General features: G+C 47.5%; 1 protein-coding gene across 1 annotated transcript in view, besides 1 other annotated feature; it reads right to left on the bottom strand.

The window, feature by feature from the left end:
- Window positions 1-17,686, bottom strand: part of MTA3 (metastasis associated 1 family member 3) — a 262,837-nt gene that overhangs the window by 189,241 nt on the left and 55,910 nt on the right. The gene's annotated exons all lie outside the window — the stretch shown is intronic.
- Window positions 7,471-7,520: an enhancer, noted in NCBI's record as "active region_15649". NCBI's record gives its function as "activates an Ori minimal core promoter by ATAC-STARR-seq in GM12878 lymphoblastoid cells {active_cell/tissue: GM12878}" and the evidence as "EXISTENCE:reporter gene assay evidence [ECO:0000049][PMID:35858748]".

The raw sequence follows: 17,686 nt of genomic DNA, 5'->3' as shown, positions 1-17,686 counted from the left end.
CTCTAAACAACCTCTGTTTTCACGGCCTTCCTACTCTCACAGATACAAAAAAAAAAAAACAACGTTGAATCTTAGCTGGCGATCCCCCAAATGAACACAAATAACTTTCTTTAGAGAAGCCAGTCCATTCCAAAGTACTCCCAGACATTGCTGCATAATAAACACGAAGAAGATTTCTTGGTGTGGTGGCTTGTTTGGAATGTGTGGTGATACACAGCTGTGTGCTGTCGACTCTGGGTTTAAGGTCTGTGCGGGGCTAAGAGGTGCCCCCAGAAAAGAAGGTTGTGTTTTGGTGGTTTGGTGATGACATTTGTGATGGTCACTTATCACAAAGTATTGAGATGAAAAAACTGTGCATAGCTGAGGCAAAATATAAAAATAAAAAATAAAGCACTATTGAATTACATTGACTCTATGACCTGTTTCCTCGTCTATAAAATGGGGACGTGAGTTCCCCCTTCACAGGTGTGGTAAGGATCAGTTGCGATGATATCTGAAAATGCTTTGTAAACCAGGGAACACAGAGCACCATGCAAATAACAGGTGTCTCTTGCTTTCTTTTTAACCCCAGAAAACCACAGATTCCCAAGGGTTCTCTGCTGTGTGTCAAATTCTGAGCCATGTGTCAAATTCTGACCCAAAGAAGAAAGCAAAAGTGTTCTGTTCCACACATTGCATAGCTGTCATTCAACATTTACCAGAGATCCCACCAAAAACATTCTGACAAAACTGACATCACTCCATTTCTGAGCTGACACATAAATAGGGTTGAATAATTCACCTGGAATCACACAGTAAACTGGCAGCAATTTTGGGATTATGAATCAGCCCTTTCCTCTGGCCTAGAATGTTCTGAACCACAGTGTTTCTCCAAGTACAAAAGCCACCTAGAAACCATAAAGTGCAAAGAAGTGGATCACAAGCTTTAGGATGTTTTCCCATTAATTTTTCATAAGCAATTTCTCCTCCTTCGAAATCTTTCCCTGTTTTTGTTAATTCATTGTGTGCCTGTCTCATTTCCCAAGCTTAGTGCTCTTGCCAGGTGTTTATGATGACTGTGCTAACCACAATAAATGGTGAAAGATGCCGAGAAAACTCCTCCCTATGTCCCCTTAGGAACAGCCTCATCCAGAAGCCCCCCATGAAAGGCCTCAAAGACTTGAAGGGGACTAGCAGGAGGTAATGATGGTGGCAGGCCTTAGAACCGTTTTTTGCTCTAGATTCTATATATTAGTCTCTTCCATGTCCAGCTCCTAGGCCAATGTCCTCTACATTTCTGAGCTGACACAGTAGATGCTCAGTATCTGAAGAATAAATACCAACAAATCGTGGACTCAAAGAATCAGAAGAGCTGAATACAAGGACTTTGTGAAACTTTTATATGTCCTAATTCCAGAGAGGTTCACACATAAAGGAGTTCAGCAAATGTTTGTAGATTGAAAGAAACCTTTCAACCAAAGACGGGTGGAAAGCCTGCACCTTTAAAAAAGCAAAGGCGCCTCTCCCTTCTTAGCTACATGGTTTAGACCACAAACTTGTCATCAACCAGCCCTAACTTCACTCCTAGTTTGGCAGTTTAACTATAAAGACCTTGAGCAAGTTACTTAACCCCTCTGAGCCTCAAGAGGGGTTACAAAATATGACTACTGGTTGATACCTACCTCAAAGGCTTATGGTAGAAAAAAAAATTTTTTTTGAGACGGAGTTTCGCTCTCGCTGCCCAGGCTGGAGTGCAATGGCACGATTCGGATTCGGCTCACTGCAAGCTCCACCTCCGAGGCTCAAGCAATTCTCCTGCCTCAGCCTCCCAAGCAGCTGGGACTACAGGTGCCCATCACCACGTCTGGCTAATTTTTGTATTTTTAGTAGAGACAGGGTTTCACCATGTTGGCCACACTGGTCTGGAACTCCTGACCTCAAGTGATCTGCCTGCCCAGCCTCCCAAAATGCTGGGATTACAGGCATGAGCCACCATGCCCAGCCTGGTAAAATTTAAATATAGAAGGTGTTTGGCACTTGTTGGGCGCTTCATATGCGTTAGGTCCCTTCTCTCTATTCCAGTTATTCTCATCACTAAGGAAGAAGTGTCTCTCAGGCCATGCCAGAAATCCCAGGGCAAATCCAGCCCTTCCATGGATGAAATTTCCTTGCACAGTTGTTGCAATTAAAGAACCACATACAAGGTAGTTCTTTACCATTTAGTTGAAGAGAAGTGGATGCAGCAAGAAAGCTATAGGTGGCTAGGCATGGTGGCTCACGCCTGTAATCCCAGCATTTTGGGAGGCCAAGGCAGGAGGATCATTTGAGCCTAGGCAACATGGCAAGACCCCACCTCTACCAAAAAAAAAAAAAAAAAGTTAGCCAGTTGGTGCGCACCTATGGTCCTGGCTACTCTGGAAGAGACTGAGGCAGGCAAATCGCTTGAGCCCAGGAGGTAGAGGCTGTGAGCCATGTTTATGCCCCTGCACTCTAGCCTGGGTAATAGAGCAAGACTCTGTCTCAAAATAAATAAACAAAAGAAAAAAAAGAAAGCTTTAGGTGAATAGGTAAAATGGAGAGTTGGTTTTTGTCTCAACGTAGGGATGGAGTTTTTATATGTGCGAAAAAATAAAAAGAGATTGGTGCCGGTTGGCTGAGCGCGGTGGCTCACACCTGTAATCCCAGCACTTTGGGAGGCCGAGGCCGGCGGATCATGAGGTCAGGAGTTCGAGACCAGCCTGGTCAATATGGTGAAAACCCATCTCTACTAAAAATACAAAAAATTAGCCGGGCATGGTGGCAAGCGCCTGTAGTCCCAGCTACTCAGGAGGCTGAGGCAGAAGAATCGCTTGAACCCAGGAGGCAGAGATTGCAGTGAGCCAAGATCACACCACTGTGTTCCAGTCTGGGCAACAGAACGAGACTTCATCTCAAAAAAAATAAATTAAAAGAGATTGGTGCTGGCCACAGTCTGGGAGTTCTGTCATACTGAACCCAGGACAGGAGCCTGGAGGTCTAAAATGTAATTAATCTGAAACCAGAGGCCAGGCTTTGGAAAAGGGACTTTATCTTGTTGGTTCGTGTTTTCCATGATTTATTTCTCTCTTCTTTTTCCTTTCATTAACTTCTTCTCTTATTTAGTAAAATTCTTTCAGAAAAGGCCAGTCTGTCTCATATTCTAAGGAGGGCCTGGGTTTTAAAGGCAGAGGAACATAACCCAAGAGAAGTGTAGGCATATGATGGCAAGAATCAAAGCAGAAGAGCCCCAAGGAGAAAGGAAACAGAATTGGGAGTTCTGTAGCTTCTCTAGTCATAGAGATGGTTCTTCCATAGATCTCCTGTGCAAAAAACATGAAATCCCTAAAGGTCTTGGTTTCGGGCAGTATGTGTTTTCGGATCCCATAGTTCCCTCATGCCCTCACAGGGGAGCTAGCTCAGCCATTTGGCTGCTTCCACAAGAAGGTTCCTTCTCTAGTAACATTACCTTTAGGTAGTAGAAAAGGGACTAAGTCATAATGGGGACAGAAATGAGCCTCTGGGTGGTTAACCTAACTGACCCTACTATTTCTCTTTTTTAACTACTGTAGATTTGAATAAGAAATGGTTGGCCAGGCACAGTGGCACACACCTGTAATCCCAGCACTTTGGGAGGCAAAGGCGGATCACCTGAGGTCAGGAGTTCAAGACCAGCCTGGCCAACATAGTGAAACGCCATCTCTACTAAAAATACAAAAAATTAACTGGGCGTGGTGGCACACGCCTGTAATTCCAGCTACTCTGGAGGCTGAGGCGGGAGAATGGCTTAAACCTGGGAGGCGGAGGTTGCAGTGAGCCGAGATCGCGCCATTGCACTCCAGCCTGGGCAACAAGAGCGAAACTCCATCAAAAAAGAAAGGAAGGAAGGAAGGAAGGAAGGAAGGAAGGAAGGAAGGAAGGAAGGAAGGAAGGAATGTTTGGTCCAGGCCGGGCATGGTGGCTGACACCTGTAATCCCAGCACTTTGGGAGGCCGAGGTGGGCAGATCATGACGTCAGGAGATCGAGACCGTCCTGGCTAACATGGCGAAATCCCATATCCACTAAAAATACAAAACATTAGCTGGGTGTGGTGGCGGGCACCTGTAGTCCCAGCTACTCAGGAGGCTGAGGCAGGATAATGGCATGAACCCGGGAGGTGGAGCTTGCAGTGAGCTGAGATGGCACCACCACACTCCAGCCTGGGCGAAAAGTGAGACTTCGTCTCAAAAAAATAAATAAAAATAAATGGTTGGTCCGTGCAGTGGCTCACGCTCAGCACTTTGGGAAGCTAAGGCAGGCGAATCACCTGAAGTCAGTAGTTTGAGACCAGCCTGGCCAGCATGGCAAAACCCCGTCTCTATTAAAAATACAAAAATTAGCCAGGCATGGTGGCGCGCGCCTGTAATCCCAGCTACTTGGGAGGCTGAGACAGGAGAATCGCTTAAACCTGGGAGGTGGAGGTTGTAGGGTCAAGAAAAAGAATCAATGGGAAGTGTTGAAGGAATGTTACAGGGAGTAAGGTGTTTGTATAGATGATTCAGACTGCAGTACAGAGAGTGGATTAGAAAGGGTGGAGATTCCAGACCAGATCAGTTGGGAGGTTGGTGAGAAGGGGTGGTGGTCTGGCCTAGGGTAGAGGCAGTGGGTTATGATAAGTAGATGGTTTTAGAGAGATGTAGGAGGCAAGATCCGATCTGGTGACTCTAGGGAGGCACGAGGTGAAAGGGTGGTGACAAGGCTTATGGGGAGCTGTAAGTAGAGATCAGTGAGTAAAGCATACAGGAGGAAAGGCAAGTTGGGGAAGAGGATAGTGGACAGGTTCTGTGCTGGAAGGGTTGTGTTCGAGGTGCCTTTGGAAATATCCAGGTAGATGTCTTCTCTTTGGGAAACAGTTGGATGAAAAGGCCTGGTGTTTAGGAGGGAGCTCTGAGCTGGAAATAGCCACTTCTGGTGTTACCATCACCCCAGAGCCCAGCCAATCTAAGGAATAAGCCAAACCCTGGCCCCAGGGAAAGAAGCAGGTTCCCTGAGTCCTTCAGGTTGGGTGGAAACAGGTTTGGCAGGTCAGGTTCAGGAGATCAGAGTCCAGGTGCAAATGTGCAAATAGGCAGAGTGTGGGCAGAGCCACATAAGCCACTGCCCAAGGCAGACCGGGAAACCAAGGGGGAATGGCCTGTGCTGACCATCTCACTAGGACTAGCTAGAAAAATTGTCAGCAAGCATCCACAGAAGGTTCTGCCTCAACCCTCACTCCTTCTTCCCAGCCCTGAAAAGCAGCTGGGGTGGGGAGGGGGAGGGAAGATGGAAAGAACAGAAGGAGACGGAAAGGGACACAGCCTGAAAAAGCAAATCTGACTCATTCCTACCTCACCCTCTTGCCTCTAAGATGATGTAGTGGGTTGAATGGTGGCCCCCCAAAAGACATGCCCACCCAGAACCTGCGAATATGACCTTATTTGGAAAAAGTGTGTTTGCAGATATAATTAAGCTGAAGATCTCAAGATGAGATTATCCTGAGATTAGGATGGACCCTAAGTCTAATGACATGTGTCCTTATAAGAGACAGAAGAAGAAAGACACAGAGAAAAGGGGGCAGCCCTGTGAAGGGAGACGCAGAGATGGGACTTATGCAGCTACAAACCAAGGAGTGCCAGGGGTTGCCAGCAACCACTGGCATGGGATGGATTGTCCCCCAGAGACTCCAGGACTAACCCTACTGACACCTTGCTTTCAAGCTTCTGGCCTGTAGAACTGTGAGAGAATGAATTGTTTGAAGCTACCCAATTTGTTGTAATTTGTTACAGGAGCCTTAGGAAACTCCTACAGATGGTATCCACCTTTCAATTTTAAGTAAACATAGAGTCACCCAGAAAACACTTAGAGCAGTATACAGTATACACAGATTAAGGGACACAGAAACAGAATAATAGAATAAAGAGAAATACACAGAGAAAGAAGGGGACCCCCTCACCACTTTATCTAAGTCCTACTCAATCCCTTGAAACAGTCAACATGTTTAACTCACCTTGGTTTGTCTCTCCTCCTAGCTGACATGGTTGGCTTAGTGCTAAGAGAAAAGGACACCTGGGGCCGGGCTCGGTGGCTCACGCCTGTAATCCCAGCACTTTGGGAGGCAGAGGTGGGTAGATCACCTGATGTCAGGAGTTTGAGACCAGCCTGGCCAACATGGTGAAACCCCGTCTCTACTAAAAATACAAAAATTAGTCAGGCGTGGTGGCAGGCACCTGTAATCCCAACTACTCAGAAGGCTGAGGCAGGAGAATCGCTTGAACCCGGGAGATGGAGGTTGCAGTGAGCCAAGATTGTGCCACTGCACTCCAGCCTGGGCAACAGAGCGAGATTCCATCTAAAAAAAAAAAAAGAAATAAATAAATAAACAGATATGCTAGTATAGAATGATGAATGTTACAAGGAGAGTAAATCAAGATCAGAGAACAAAAAGTGATGATGGTGGTAAGGGAAGGCCTTTTGTATATGCTAAGAACTGAAAAGAAACTAAAATAATGAAATAGAGTGAACACTTGGGACATCTGGAGAGCAACATTCCAGACAGAGGGAAAAAGTGCAAGTTCCCCACATCAGGAAGCAGCCTGACCTGATCATGACATGGAAAGGCCAGTGTGGAGAGCAGATGGGGTCAGGGAGGTGAATAGGGTCAGGATCCCATAGGGACCGGTGGGCCATGGTAAAAAGTTTGGATTTTATTCTAAATATAGTGGGAAGCCTTTAGAAGTTTTTAAACATGGAATAATGGAGACTTAATTTGGTTTTTGTTTTGTTTTTGAGATGGAGTCTCGCTCTGTCACCCAGGCTGAAGTACAGTGGCTAGATCTCAGCTCACTGCAACCTCCACCTCCCAGGTTCAGATGATTCTCCTCCCTCAGCCTCCTGAGTAGCTGGGATTACAGGCATGCGCCACCATATCCCCGCTAATTTTTTTTTTTTCCAGTAGAGATGGAGTTTTACTATGTTGGCCAGGCTGGTATCAAACTCCTGACCTCAGGTGATCCGCCCACCTCAGCCTCCCAAAGTGCTGTGATTACAGGTGTGAGCCACCGTGCCACGCCCTGGGGTTTTGAGTGTGTGTGTGTGTGTGTTTTGTTTGTTTTTTGTTTTGTTGTTTTTTGTTTTTTTTTTTAAGATGGAGTCTCACTCTGTTGCCCAGGCTGGAGTGCAGTGGCACCATCTCACCTCACTGCAACCTCTGCCTCTCGGGTTCAAGCCTTTCGCATTGTTGGCCAGGCTGGTCTTGAACTCCTGACCTCAAGTGATCCACTCGCTCACTCCCAGAGTGCTGAGATTATAGGCGTCCACCACCAACCACAGCTTGATTTGTTTTTAAAAGCTCACTTGCCAGTGACGCAGTTTTAAAAAAAAAATCAGCCGGGCACAGTGCCTCACGCACTTTGGGAGGCCGACGCAGGCAGATCACCTCAGGTCAGGAGTTCAAGACCAGCCTGGCCAAAATGGTGAAACCCCATCTCTACTAAAAATACAAAATTAGCCGGGCGTGGTGGCGTGCACCTGTAATCCCAGCTGCTCAGAAGGCTGAGGCGGGAGAATCGCTTGCACCTGGGAGGCGGAGGTTACAGAGCAAAACTCCATCTCAAAAAATAAAAATTAAAATTAAAAATAAAAAAAATCACTTGGACTGCTGTGCAGAGTATGAACCCTCAGGAAGAGAAACAAGAAGACTTGATAGGAGATTGACATATTTCAAGGAAGAGAGAAGTAACAAAGACTTGGAGTAGAATGGTAGCTGTCACGGCCAATGGAGTTTTTTTTTTTTTTGAGATGGAGTTTCGCTCTTGTTGCCCAGGCTGGAGTGCAGCGGCTCAATCTCGGCTTACTGCAACCTCCACCGCACCCCCCTGCCCGCCCCCCGCCCCGGGTTCAAGTGATTCTTCTGCCTCAGCCTCCAGAGTAGCTGGGATTACAGGCATGCGCTACCACGCCTGGCTAATTTTGTGTTTAGTAGAGATGGGGTTTCTCCATGTTGGTCAGGCTGGTCTCGAACTCCCGACCTCAGGTGATCCACCTGCCTTAGCCTCCCAAAGTGCTGGGATTACAGGCGTGAGCCACTGCGCCTGGCCAGAGATATATTTTTTAAGGCAGAGCCAGCAGCTCTTACTGAAGGATTGAATATAAGAGATGAAATGGGAAAACAAAATTTTTTTTTTTTTTTTTTGAGACAAGGTCTCGCTCTGTTGCCTAGGCTGGAGTGTTGTGGCATGATCTCGGCTTACTGCGGCCTCCGCCTCCCAGGTTCAAGCAATTCTCCCATCTCAGCCTCCAGAGTAGCTGGGATTACAGGCGCACACCACCACGCCTGGCTAATTTTTGTATTTTTAGTAGAGACAGGGTTTCACCATGTTGGCCAGGCTGGTCTCCAACTCCTGACCTCATGTGATCCACCCTCCTTGACCTCCCAAAGTGCTGGGATTACAGGCGTGAGCCACTGCGCCCAGCCCAAAACAAACTTGTTGGGACTCCCAGGTGCTTATAGACATGTGTTTGGAAATATTAGATAGACAACTGGATCTGGGCTCTGGAACTTAGCAGAGAGGCCTAGACTAGAGATACAAATCTGGGAGTCACCACCACATAGACAGTGGAGGAAGCTGGAGACTGGTGAGATTACCTGCCAGGAGAGGGAGTGTGGGTGGAGAGGAGGGCAGAGGCCTGAGCCCTGGGGCAAGCCAACATTGAGAGCAAAGGTTGGTTCTCTACTCTAGCTGCTCCAGGGGAACTACTGAGACAAGGCTGAGCTCCACCCCAAGAAATCCTGATTTAATTAGTTTGGAGTAGTCCATGGGTTTTAGTTAAAAAAAAAAAGGCCGGGCACGGTGGCTCACGCCTGTAATCCTAGCACTTTGGGAGGCTGAGGCAGGCGGATTGCATGAGCTCAGGAGTTTGAGACCAGCCTGGGCAATATGGTGAAACCCCGTCTCTACTAAAATATGGAAAAAAAAAAAATAGCGGGGCGTGGCAGCGTGTGCATGTAGTCCCAGCTACTTGGGAGGAAGGAGAATTGCTTGAACCCAGGAGGCGGAGGTGCAGTGACCTGAGATGATGCCACTGCACTCCAGCCTGGTGAGAGAGTGAGACTCTGTCTCAAAAAAAAAAAAAATTTTTTTAAAGGCTGGGTGTGGTGCCTCATGCCTGTAATCCTAGCATTTTGGGAGGCCGAGGTGGGCAGATGGCCTGAGGTCGGGAGTTCAAGACCAGCCTGACCAACATGGAGAAACCCCATCTCTACTAAAAATACAAAATTAGCCAGGCGTGGTGGCACATGCCTTTAGTCCCAGTTAGTCCCAGCTACTTGGGAGGCTGAGAGGAAGAATCGCTTGAACCCAGAAGGCAAAGGTTGCAGTGAGCCGAGATCATGCCATTGCACTCCAGCCTGGGTACCAAGAGCGAAACTCCAACTCAAAAAAAAAAAAAAAAAAAAGTCCTCAGGTGATTCCACAGTGTAGCCAAGAATTGAGAACTATGCAGGTAGTGATCAGGAGGAGAGCCATAAAGAGAGACTAGGGAGCATTGAGGGAGGTGTGAAAAATGTCAGGGAAGTACCGGTCCCAAAAGCCAAGTGAAAAAGGGAGTGGTCCAACCGACAAACTGGAGCAAGAGTAATAATAAATCAACACTGGATTTGGCAAAGTGGTGGCCAATGAATACCAACTCCCCTGCCATCTTTCCTTGGTGGTTCTTGATTCTTCAGGTGCTAGGCAGCTCAAAATAAATTGGTAGGGTTGGCCTGAGATACCCAATGGTGTAGACGACTCCAAGGACACAGAGAGGGGACTCATGAACCCCCCACATCCCCTGCCAGACTGAGGAATAGAGACTAGAATTTGCTCTTTTTATCAGTTCCTTTTATCTTTATCTGTAGGTTTGTAGCTACTGCCCTTTCTATAAGAGACAGAGGGAAGTTTATTTGCACTCTTGATTTCAAAAAGGACTGAAAATGTTGGAGAGCTCAAGCTAAACTTCGAAGTCCTAGATAAATAAATCATTGTTTATGTCTCCTTTTATCTCTGTAAATTTTTGGAGGAAAAAAGCATGAGTATTACAGAGACACTTCAAGGAGCTGCTTTTACAAAGCCAGGTCAGGACTATATTATTAGTGGCAACTAATGCAATGTTTCACGTTTAATTGCACAGATCAGAGCACTGAGCAGGACACCTGGAGGCAGTTTGACCTTTTCGAGGCTTTGGTAAAGGACACCCAGAATCCGTCCAGCCAAAACCTGTCATTGGTTCCTTTCTGTAAGAGGAGACATAATGTACGTCTTCTGGAAGCCCTGACTCCCCCACCCTACCCCACCCCCTCCAGGCTTCTAGAACAATGAAGAAAAATCTGGACTGTGTTTTTTTTTTCTTAATTTTTAAATTTTTATTTATTTATATTGAGACAAAGTCTCTCTCTGTTGCCCAGGCTGGAGTGCAGTGGCGCGATCTCGGCTCCTCCCAGGCTGAAGTGCAGTGGTGCGATATCTGCTCACTGCAACCTCCGCCTCCTGTGTTCAAGCAATTCTCCTGCCTCAGCCTCCCGAGTAGCTGGGATTACAGGCGTGAGCCACCTCACCTGGTCTTTTCTTTTAAATTTTGTGGGCACAAAGTAGGTATATATATTTTGGACTGTGTTCTTGAAGGGTGGAGTCCATGTTAGAAGCTAGAATTCTGGAGGCAGAAGGAGGAGAGAAGTTTCCAGCGTTTCGTAGGGCCTCCTTCCTCTGCCCTTGATCTTGGCTGGCTCCTGAAATCTGGAAATCGGGTGCCCTTGTCCTCTGCTCTATACTCACACAGAGCCTAAGTCAGACCTTTTCTAACGGGCCCTGAAGTCTCCCCATGAGGTCAGAGCAATGCTGAAGGTAGAGTTGAACACTCTGTGGCCTTGGTGCTTCTACCTCTTCCCATTCCCCCCACCAATACAGCCCCTCAAAGGCCCCTCAGATCTGGGCTGGCATGGGGACCACTTGCTTGTCATACTGACTCCCTCCAGGAGTGGCTTTCTGGCTGAAGGTTGCAGGGCTCAAGACTGACTTCTCCATCTTGGTCGAGCTTTACCCAAAGCATCTGCAGCATCGGGCAGGCTGGGAGACTTGAGGGAGGGAGTGACTCCCGGCCAGTGGCATGTTGCTGGGATCGGATGCATTATTTATGATGCTGGTGTCAGCATGGCTCCCAGGCACTGGGGGAAATGGAAAAGGCACTTGGGCCAGTGCTGATTAAACTAAATATTTAAACAGGACTGAGGAATTGAGGCAAAACCCATTTTTCTTCAGTAAGGCAGAGAGCGTCACAAATGACTTCAAGGCTGGGCACTTGGTAAACACTTTCCAGAGCATAAGAGAAAGCTGGGGGCCCTGGTCTAGGGCTCTCCTCCAGAATCAGCTCCCAGCTTCCTCTCTGGAGCAGATCTATAGGCTTTCGGGAGACTCTGGAGTAGGAGTACAGGAGGGGAGATAGAGAAGCAGAAGAATGAGACTGGGAGACACCCAAACAGTCAGGCTGGCTGCATGCCTCAGGCTGCTTTTTTTTTCCCCAGGGAGCTCCATCTCCTTTTCTCTCTTTTTTTGTTTGTTTTTTTTTTTGTTTGTTTGCTTTTGTTTTTTGAGACAGAGTCTCGCTCTGTCGCCCAGGCTGGAATGCAGCGGCACTGTGTCGGCTCACTGCAACTTCCATCTCCTGGGTTCTAGCAATTCTCCTGCCTCAGCCTCCTGAGTAGCTGGGATTACAGGCGCCCACCACCATGTCTGGCTACTTTTTATATTTTTAGTAGAGGCAGGGTTCCACCATGTTGGCCAGGCTGATCTCGAACTCCTGACCTCAGGTGATCCACCCTCCTTGGCCTCCCAAAGTGCTGGGATTACAGGCGTGAGCCACCGTGCCTGGCCTTTTCTTTCTTTCTTTCTTTTTGAGACGGAGTCTCGCTCTGTTGCGCAGGCTGGAATGCAGTAGCACCCTGTTGGCTCACTGCAAGCTCCGCCTCCCAGGTTCATGCCATTCTCCTGCCTCAGCCTCCCAAGTAGCTGGGACTACAGGCGCCTGCCACCACACCTGGCTAATTTTTTTTTTTTTTGTATTTTTAGTAGAGATGGGGTTTCACTGTGGTAGCCAGGATGGTCTCGATCTCCTGACCTCGTGATCTGCCCACCTCGGCCTCCCAAAGTGCTAAGATTACAGGTGTGAGCCACTGCGCCCGGCTCTTTTTTTTTTTTTTTTTTTTTTGAGATGGAGTTTCGCTCTTGTTGCCCAGGCTGGAGTGCAATGGTGCAATCTCAGCTTACCACAACCTCCGCCTCCTGGGTTCAAGCAATTCTCCTGCCTCAGCCTCCCGAGTAGCTGGGATTACAGGCATGCACCACCATGCCCGGCTAATTTTTAGCAGAGATGGGGTTTCTCCATGTTGGTCAGGCTGGTCTCGAACTCCCGACCTCAGTTAATCCACCGCCTAGGCCTCCCAAATTGCTGGGATTACAGGCATGAGCCACAATGTCCGGCCTCCTTTTCTCAAAATAACTGTGCTACTGCATTTTCCTATGTTAGTTGTCACCCAGGCTGGAGTGCGGTAGCATAGATCCCGGCTCACTGCAACCTCCTCCTCCTGGGTTCCAGCGACTCTCCTGCCTCAGCCTACCGAGTAGCTAGGATTACAGGTGCCTGCCACCATGCCCAGCTAATTTTTTTGTATTTTTAGTGAAGACGGGGTTTCACCAGGTTGGCCAAGCTGGTCTCAAACTCCTGACATCAAGTGATCCTCAAGCCTCAGCCTCCCAAACCATTATCCTTTTAATCAGCTGGAAGAAGGGTAGTAGGGTGTCAGGCAGCCATGAACCCATCCTCTGGTAGTGATTCTTCCCATCCCACCTGATACAGGTTCCAATCAGGAAGCTGACCTCCACCTGCTGCACACAAACACTGGGGAGACCCTTCTCAGAGAGGCTGTGAGGGAGCATGTCCCTCTATTTAGAATATCCACCACCCTCCAGATTTGAGGAAAGAGGAGATCTCAAAAGGAGATTTTCATGTAGAAAGAAACAGCTGTCATTCGGGCTGGCTTTCCCTGCTGTTTTTTTTCCCTCCCTGTGGGGTCCCTCACTTGCATCTCAACAGCAGTCACTATCCCTGGCCCCCAGGGATGTGCTTTTTCTCAGTCTCTGCATGAACAAGTGCCCTTTTCCTTCTTTCCTCTAAGAACAGCTGAGACAGGCTGACATTTTCCAAATTAACTTTTATCAGAATTTAGGAAAGAAAAGGAAATAACTGCAGAAAATACAAATGCATCAGTTCAACTCAGTTCAACACTTATTGTGATTCTTACATCGAGCACCATAGTCTAGGTTACCTTGATAAATGAAACGGAGTTCTGGGACTCAAGGAGTTCACCATCCAATGGAAGAGGAGAGGTAGGCATGAATAGATAACTAGTTTATTTTACTTTATTTTTTTTGAGACGGAGTCTTGCTCTGTCGCCCAGGCTGGAGTGCAATGACGTGATCTCGGCTCACTGCAAACTCCATCTCCTGCATTCAAGCGATTCCCGTACCTCAGCTTCCCGAGTAGCTGGGATTACAGGCATGCACCACAGCATCTGGCTAATTTTTGTATTTTTGGTAGAGACGGAGTTTCTCCATGTTGGTCAGGCTGGTCTCAAACTCCTGACCTCAGGTGATCCACCCGCCTCGGCCTCCCAAAGTGCTGGGATTACACGCGTGAGCCACCATGCCCGCTGATAACTAGTTTTTTGTTTTGTTTTTTTTTTCTTCTTCCTTCTTTCTTTCTTTCGTTTTTTTTTCTTTTTTTTTTTTTTTTTGAGATGGAGTCTTGCTCTGTCGCCCAGGCTGGACTGCAGTGGCACAATCTCAGCTCATTTCAGGTACTCATTTCAAAGAAGTCTCAAGTATGCATGATGCTTTTCAAGAAATTAGAGTCAATCTTTTTTTTTTTTGAGATGGAGTTTCGCTCTTGTTGCCCAGGCTGGAGGGCAATGGCGTGATCTCGGCTCACTGCAACCTCTACCTCCTGGGTTCAAGCCATTCTCCTGCCTCAGCCTCTCGAGTAGCTGGGATTACAGGCATGCGCCACCATACTCGGTTAATTTTGTATTTTTAGTAGAGACGGGGTTTCTCCATGTTGGCCAGGCTGGTTTCGAACTCCTGACCTCAGGTGATATGCCCGCCTCGGCCTCCCAAAGTGCTAGGATTACAGGTATGAGCCACCGTGTCTGGCCCAACACCCAGCCTAATTTTTTTTTTTTTTTGAGATGGAGTCTCGCTCTCTCGCCCAGGCTGGAGTGCAGTGGCGCAATCTCGGCTCACTGCAAGCTCCGCTTCCAGGGTTCACGCCATTCTCCTGCCTCAGCCTCCAGAGTAGCTGGGACTACAGGCACCCGCCACCATGCCCGGCGAATTTTTTGTATTTTTAGTGGAGACGGGTTTCACCGCGTTAGCCAGGATTGTCTCGATCTCCTGACCTCGTGATCTGCCCACCTTGGCCTCCCAAAGTGCTGGGATTACAGGCTTGAGCCACTGCGCCCGGCCCACCCAGCCTAATTTTTTAAAAATTTTTTTGTAGAGACAGGGTCTCCCTATGTTGCCCAGGCTGATCTCAAACTCCTGGCCTCAAGCAATCCTCTTGCCTCGGCCTTCCAAAGTGCTGGGATTATAGGTGTGAGCCATCATACTCAGCCTCGGAGTAGAACTTTCTTTGATTTTTTTTTTTTTTTTAATTTTTTGAGATGGAGTCTTGCGGTGTCGCCCAGGCTGGAGGGGAGTGGCGCGATCTCGGCTCAATGCAGCTTCCACCTCCTGGGTTCAAGCAATTCTCCTGCCTCAGCCTCCCGAGTAGCTGGGACTACAGGCATGTGCCGCCACACCTGGCTAATTTTTGTATTTTTAGTAGAGACGGGGCTTCACCATGTTGGCCAGGATGGCCTCTATCTCTTGACCTCATGATCCGCCCACCTCGGCCTCACAAAATGCTGGAATTACAGGCATGAGCCACCACGCCTGGCCCTTTCTTTTTTCTTTTTCTTCTTCTTCTTCTTTTTTTTTTTTTTTTGGACAAGGAGTCTCTTCCATCACCCAGGTGGTAGTGCAGTGGTGCCATCTGGGCGTTTATTGCAGCCTCAAACTCCTGGGCTCAAGGGATCCTCTCACCTCACTTCCCAAAGTGTTGGGATTACTTACAGGCTTTAGCCACCACCCCCTGGGGCTAGGAGTCTAGTTTTAAAAAGCCTTTTCAATAGTCCAAGTGAGAGAAAGTTTTAAGACAAGCATCTTCATAGTCTGCTCTAAATTTGCTGATGAGCTCAGATTCACTTGTATTATTCATTAATTTATCTAAGAAAGGGCAGGAAGGAATAACCAAATCCCATCTGATTCATACCTCTCCCCTTACTTCTCGGCTGTGGCCTTTATCTCTTTACCAGCTCACTGCTGCTCAGCCACACTGGTCTGATTATTCCCTAGACATGCCAGGCACACACCAGTCTCAGGGCCTTTGCAATTCTGCTTCACCCCAAACTTCCCTCACCGGCTTGACAGCTCAAATACATCTCCCACTTTGGGAGGCAGAGGTGGGAGGACTGCTTGAGCCCAGGAATTTGATACCAGCCTGGGCAATATAGGGAGACCTCATCTCTATTAAAAAACAAACAGGCCAGGCACGGTGGCTCACACTTGTAATCCCAGCACTTTGGGAGGCCGAGGTGGGTGGATCAAGAGGTCAAGAGATCGAGACCATCTTGGCCAACATGGTGAAACCCCGTCTCTACTAAAAATACAAAAAATTAGCCAGGCGTGGTGGCGGGTGCCTGTAATCCCAGCTACTCTGGAGACTGAGGCAGAGAATTGCTTCAACCCAGGAGGCGGAGGTTGCAGTGAGCCGAGATCGCACCACTGCACTCCAGAGCGAAACTCCATCTCAAAAAGAAAAAAAAAATTACCTCCTCAGTGCAGTCTTCCCTTCCCATCCTATTTAACATTGTAATATCTGCTCAACTCCCCAGCACTCTGTGTCACTCTCTCCCGCTTTATTCCTCTCCATAACACACCTGACATACCATATATTGTACTTACAATATGTTTTTCCCACTAAAATGTAAGCTCTTTGAGAAGAGGCATGTCTGTCTGTTTTATGTACTGCAGTCTCCTCAAGGGCACACCTGGCAGATAGAAGATACTTGAGAAATAAAGCCAGCGTGGTGACTCAGGCCTGTAATCCCAGCACTTTGGGAGGCTGAGGCAGGTGGTTTACCTCAGGTCAGGAGTTCGAGAACAGGGTGGCCAACGTGGTGAAACCCCATTTCTACTAAAAATATAAAACTTAGCCAGGCATGGTGGTGTGCATCTGTAATCCCAGCTATTCGGGAGGCTGAAACAGGAGAATTGTTTGAACCTAGAAGACAGAGGTTGCAGTGAGCCAAGATTGCACCAGTGCACTACAGCCTGGGCGACAGAGCAAGACTTCGTCTCAAAAAACAAACAAACAAACAAAAAAAAAAAAGAAATATTCACTGATCAAATGAATGACCCGAGCTCAAAGCTGTTTTGGAGAGAAAGTCTTCTTCATCTACTATTCTATCATAAATTTTAATTTATTTATTTATTTATTTATTTATTTATTTATTTATTTAGTCAGAGTCTGGTTCTGTCACCCAGGCTGGCGTGCAATGGTGCGATCTCTGCTCACTGCAACCTCCCCTCCTGGATTCAAGCTATTCTCCTGTCTCAGCCTCTCAAGTAGTTGGGGTAGCTGGGACTACAGGTGTGCACCACCATGCCCGGCTAATTTTTGTATTTTTAGTAGAGATGGGGTTTCGCCATGTTGGCCAGGCTGGTCTTGAACTCCTGACCTCAGTTGATCCACCCACCTTGGCCTCCCAAAGTGCTGGGATTACAGGCATGAGCCACTGTGCCTGGCCCTCTATCATGAATTTTAATATCTTCATTGCTCCACCAGTACTTCCACCATCAAGTCCACATTCCTTAGCACAATATTCAAGGATAGCCCTTTACAATCTGTCCCCCAGTTCCCCTTCCCAGTCTCTTGTCCCAGCGCCTTTCTCCCCATGTACTCTGCCAAATCTGAGCCACCCTTAGCTCCTTGAGCAGGACGTGAGCTTTCCTTGGCCTAAGCCTTGCACCCACATTTCCACAACCTGACCTCCTTCCTTCTGCTGCTCCATTGGGTGAACCCCTCAGCATATACAAAACCTCCTCCCCAGAGCACTAACACCTCCATTACACTACTGTATTGTACAGTAATCCCACCTTATCTTCGGAGATGCTTTCCAAGACCCCCAGTGGATGCTGAAACCAAGGATAGTACTGAACTTGATTGCTAGCAGTCAGAACACATTTCTGTTAATGTCTTCCACCCACAAATTTAATGCTTTTTCCATCTTAACTAAGCAATTATCATGCACTGTGGCCATAATTTTTGCAGGTTGAGGTGTGACAGCAAAACCAGCATGAATTTATTTTTCCTTCTTAACAATTTCATAGCTATAAGATTTGTTCTTATGGTAGATCTTAGCAACCTCAGCTTGCAGTTTTTTTCTTTCCTTAGTAAGCTGAGAACTTTCACCTTTTCACTTAAAGGAAATACTTTATGGCTGCTCTTTGGCATATCTGAATTGCCAGCACCATTATTCTTGTGCTT

This window comes from Homo sapiens, chromosome 2 (assembly GCF_000001405.40).
Source record: "Homo sapiens chromosome 2, GRCh38.p14 Primary Assembly".
Taxonomy (NCBI): domain Eukaryota; kingdom Metazoa; phylum Chordata; class Mammalia; order Primates; family Hominidae; genus Homo; species Homo sapiens.
The sequence above is the reverse complement of the archived record's forward strand: the minus strand, read 5'-3'. Positions and strand labels throughout refer to the sequence as shown.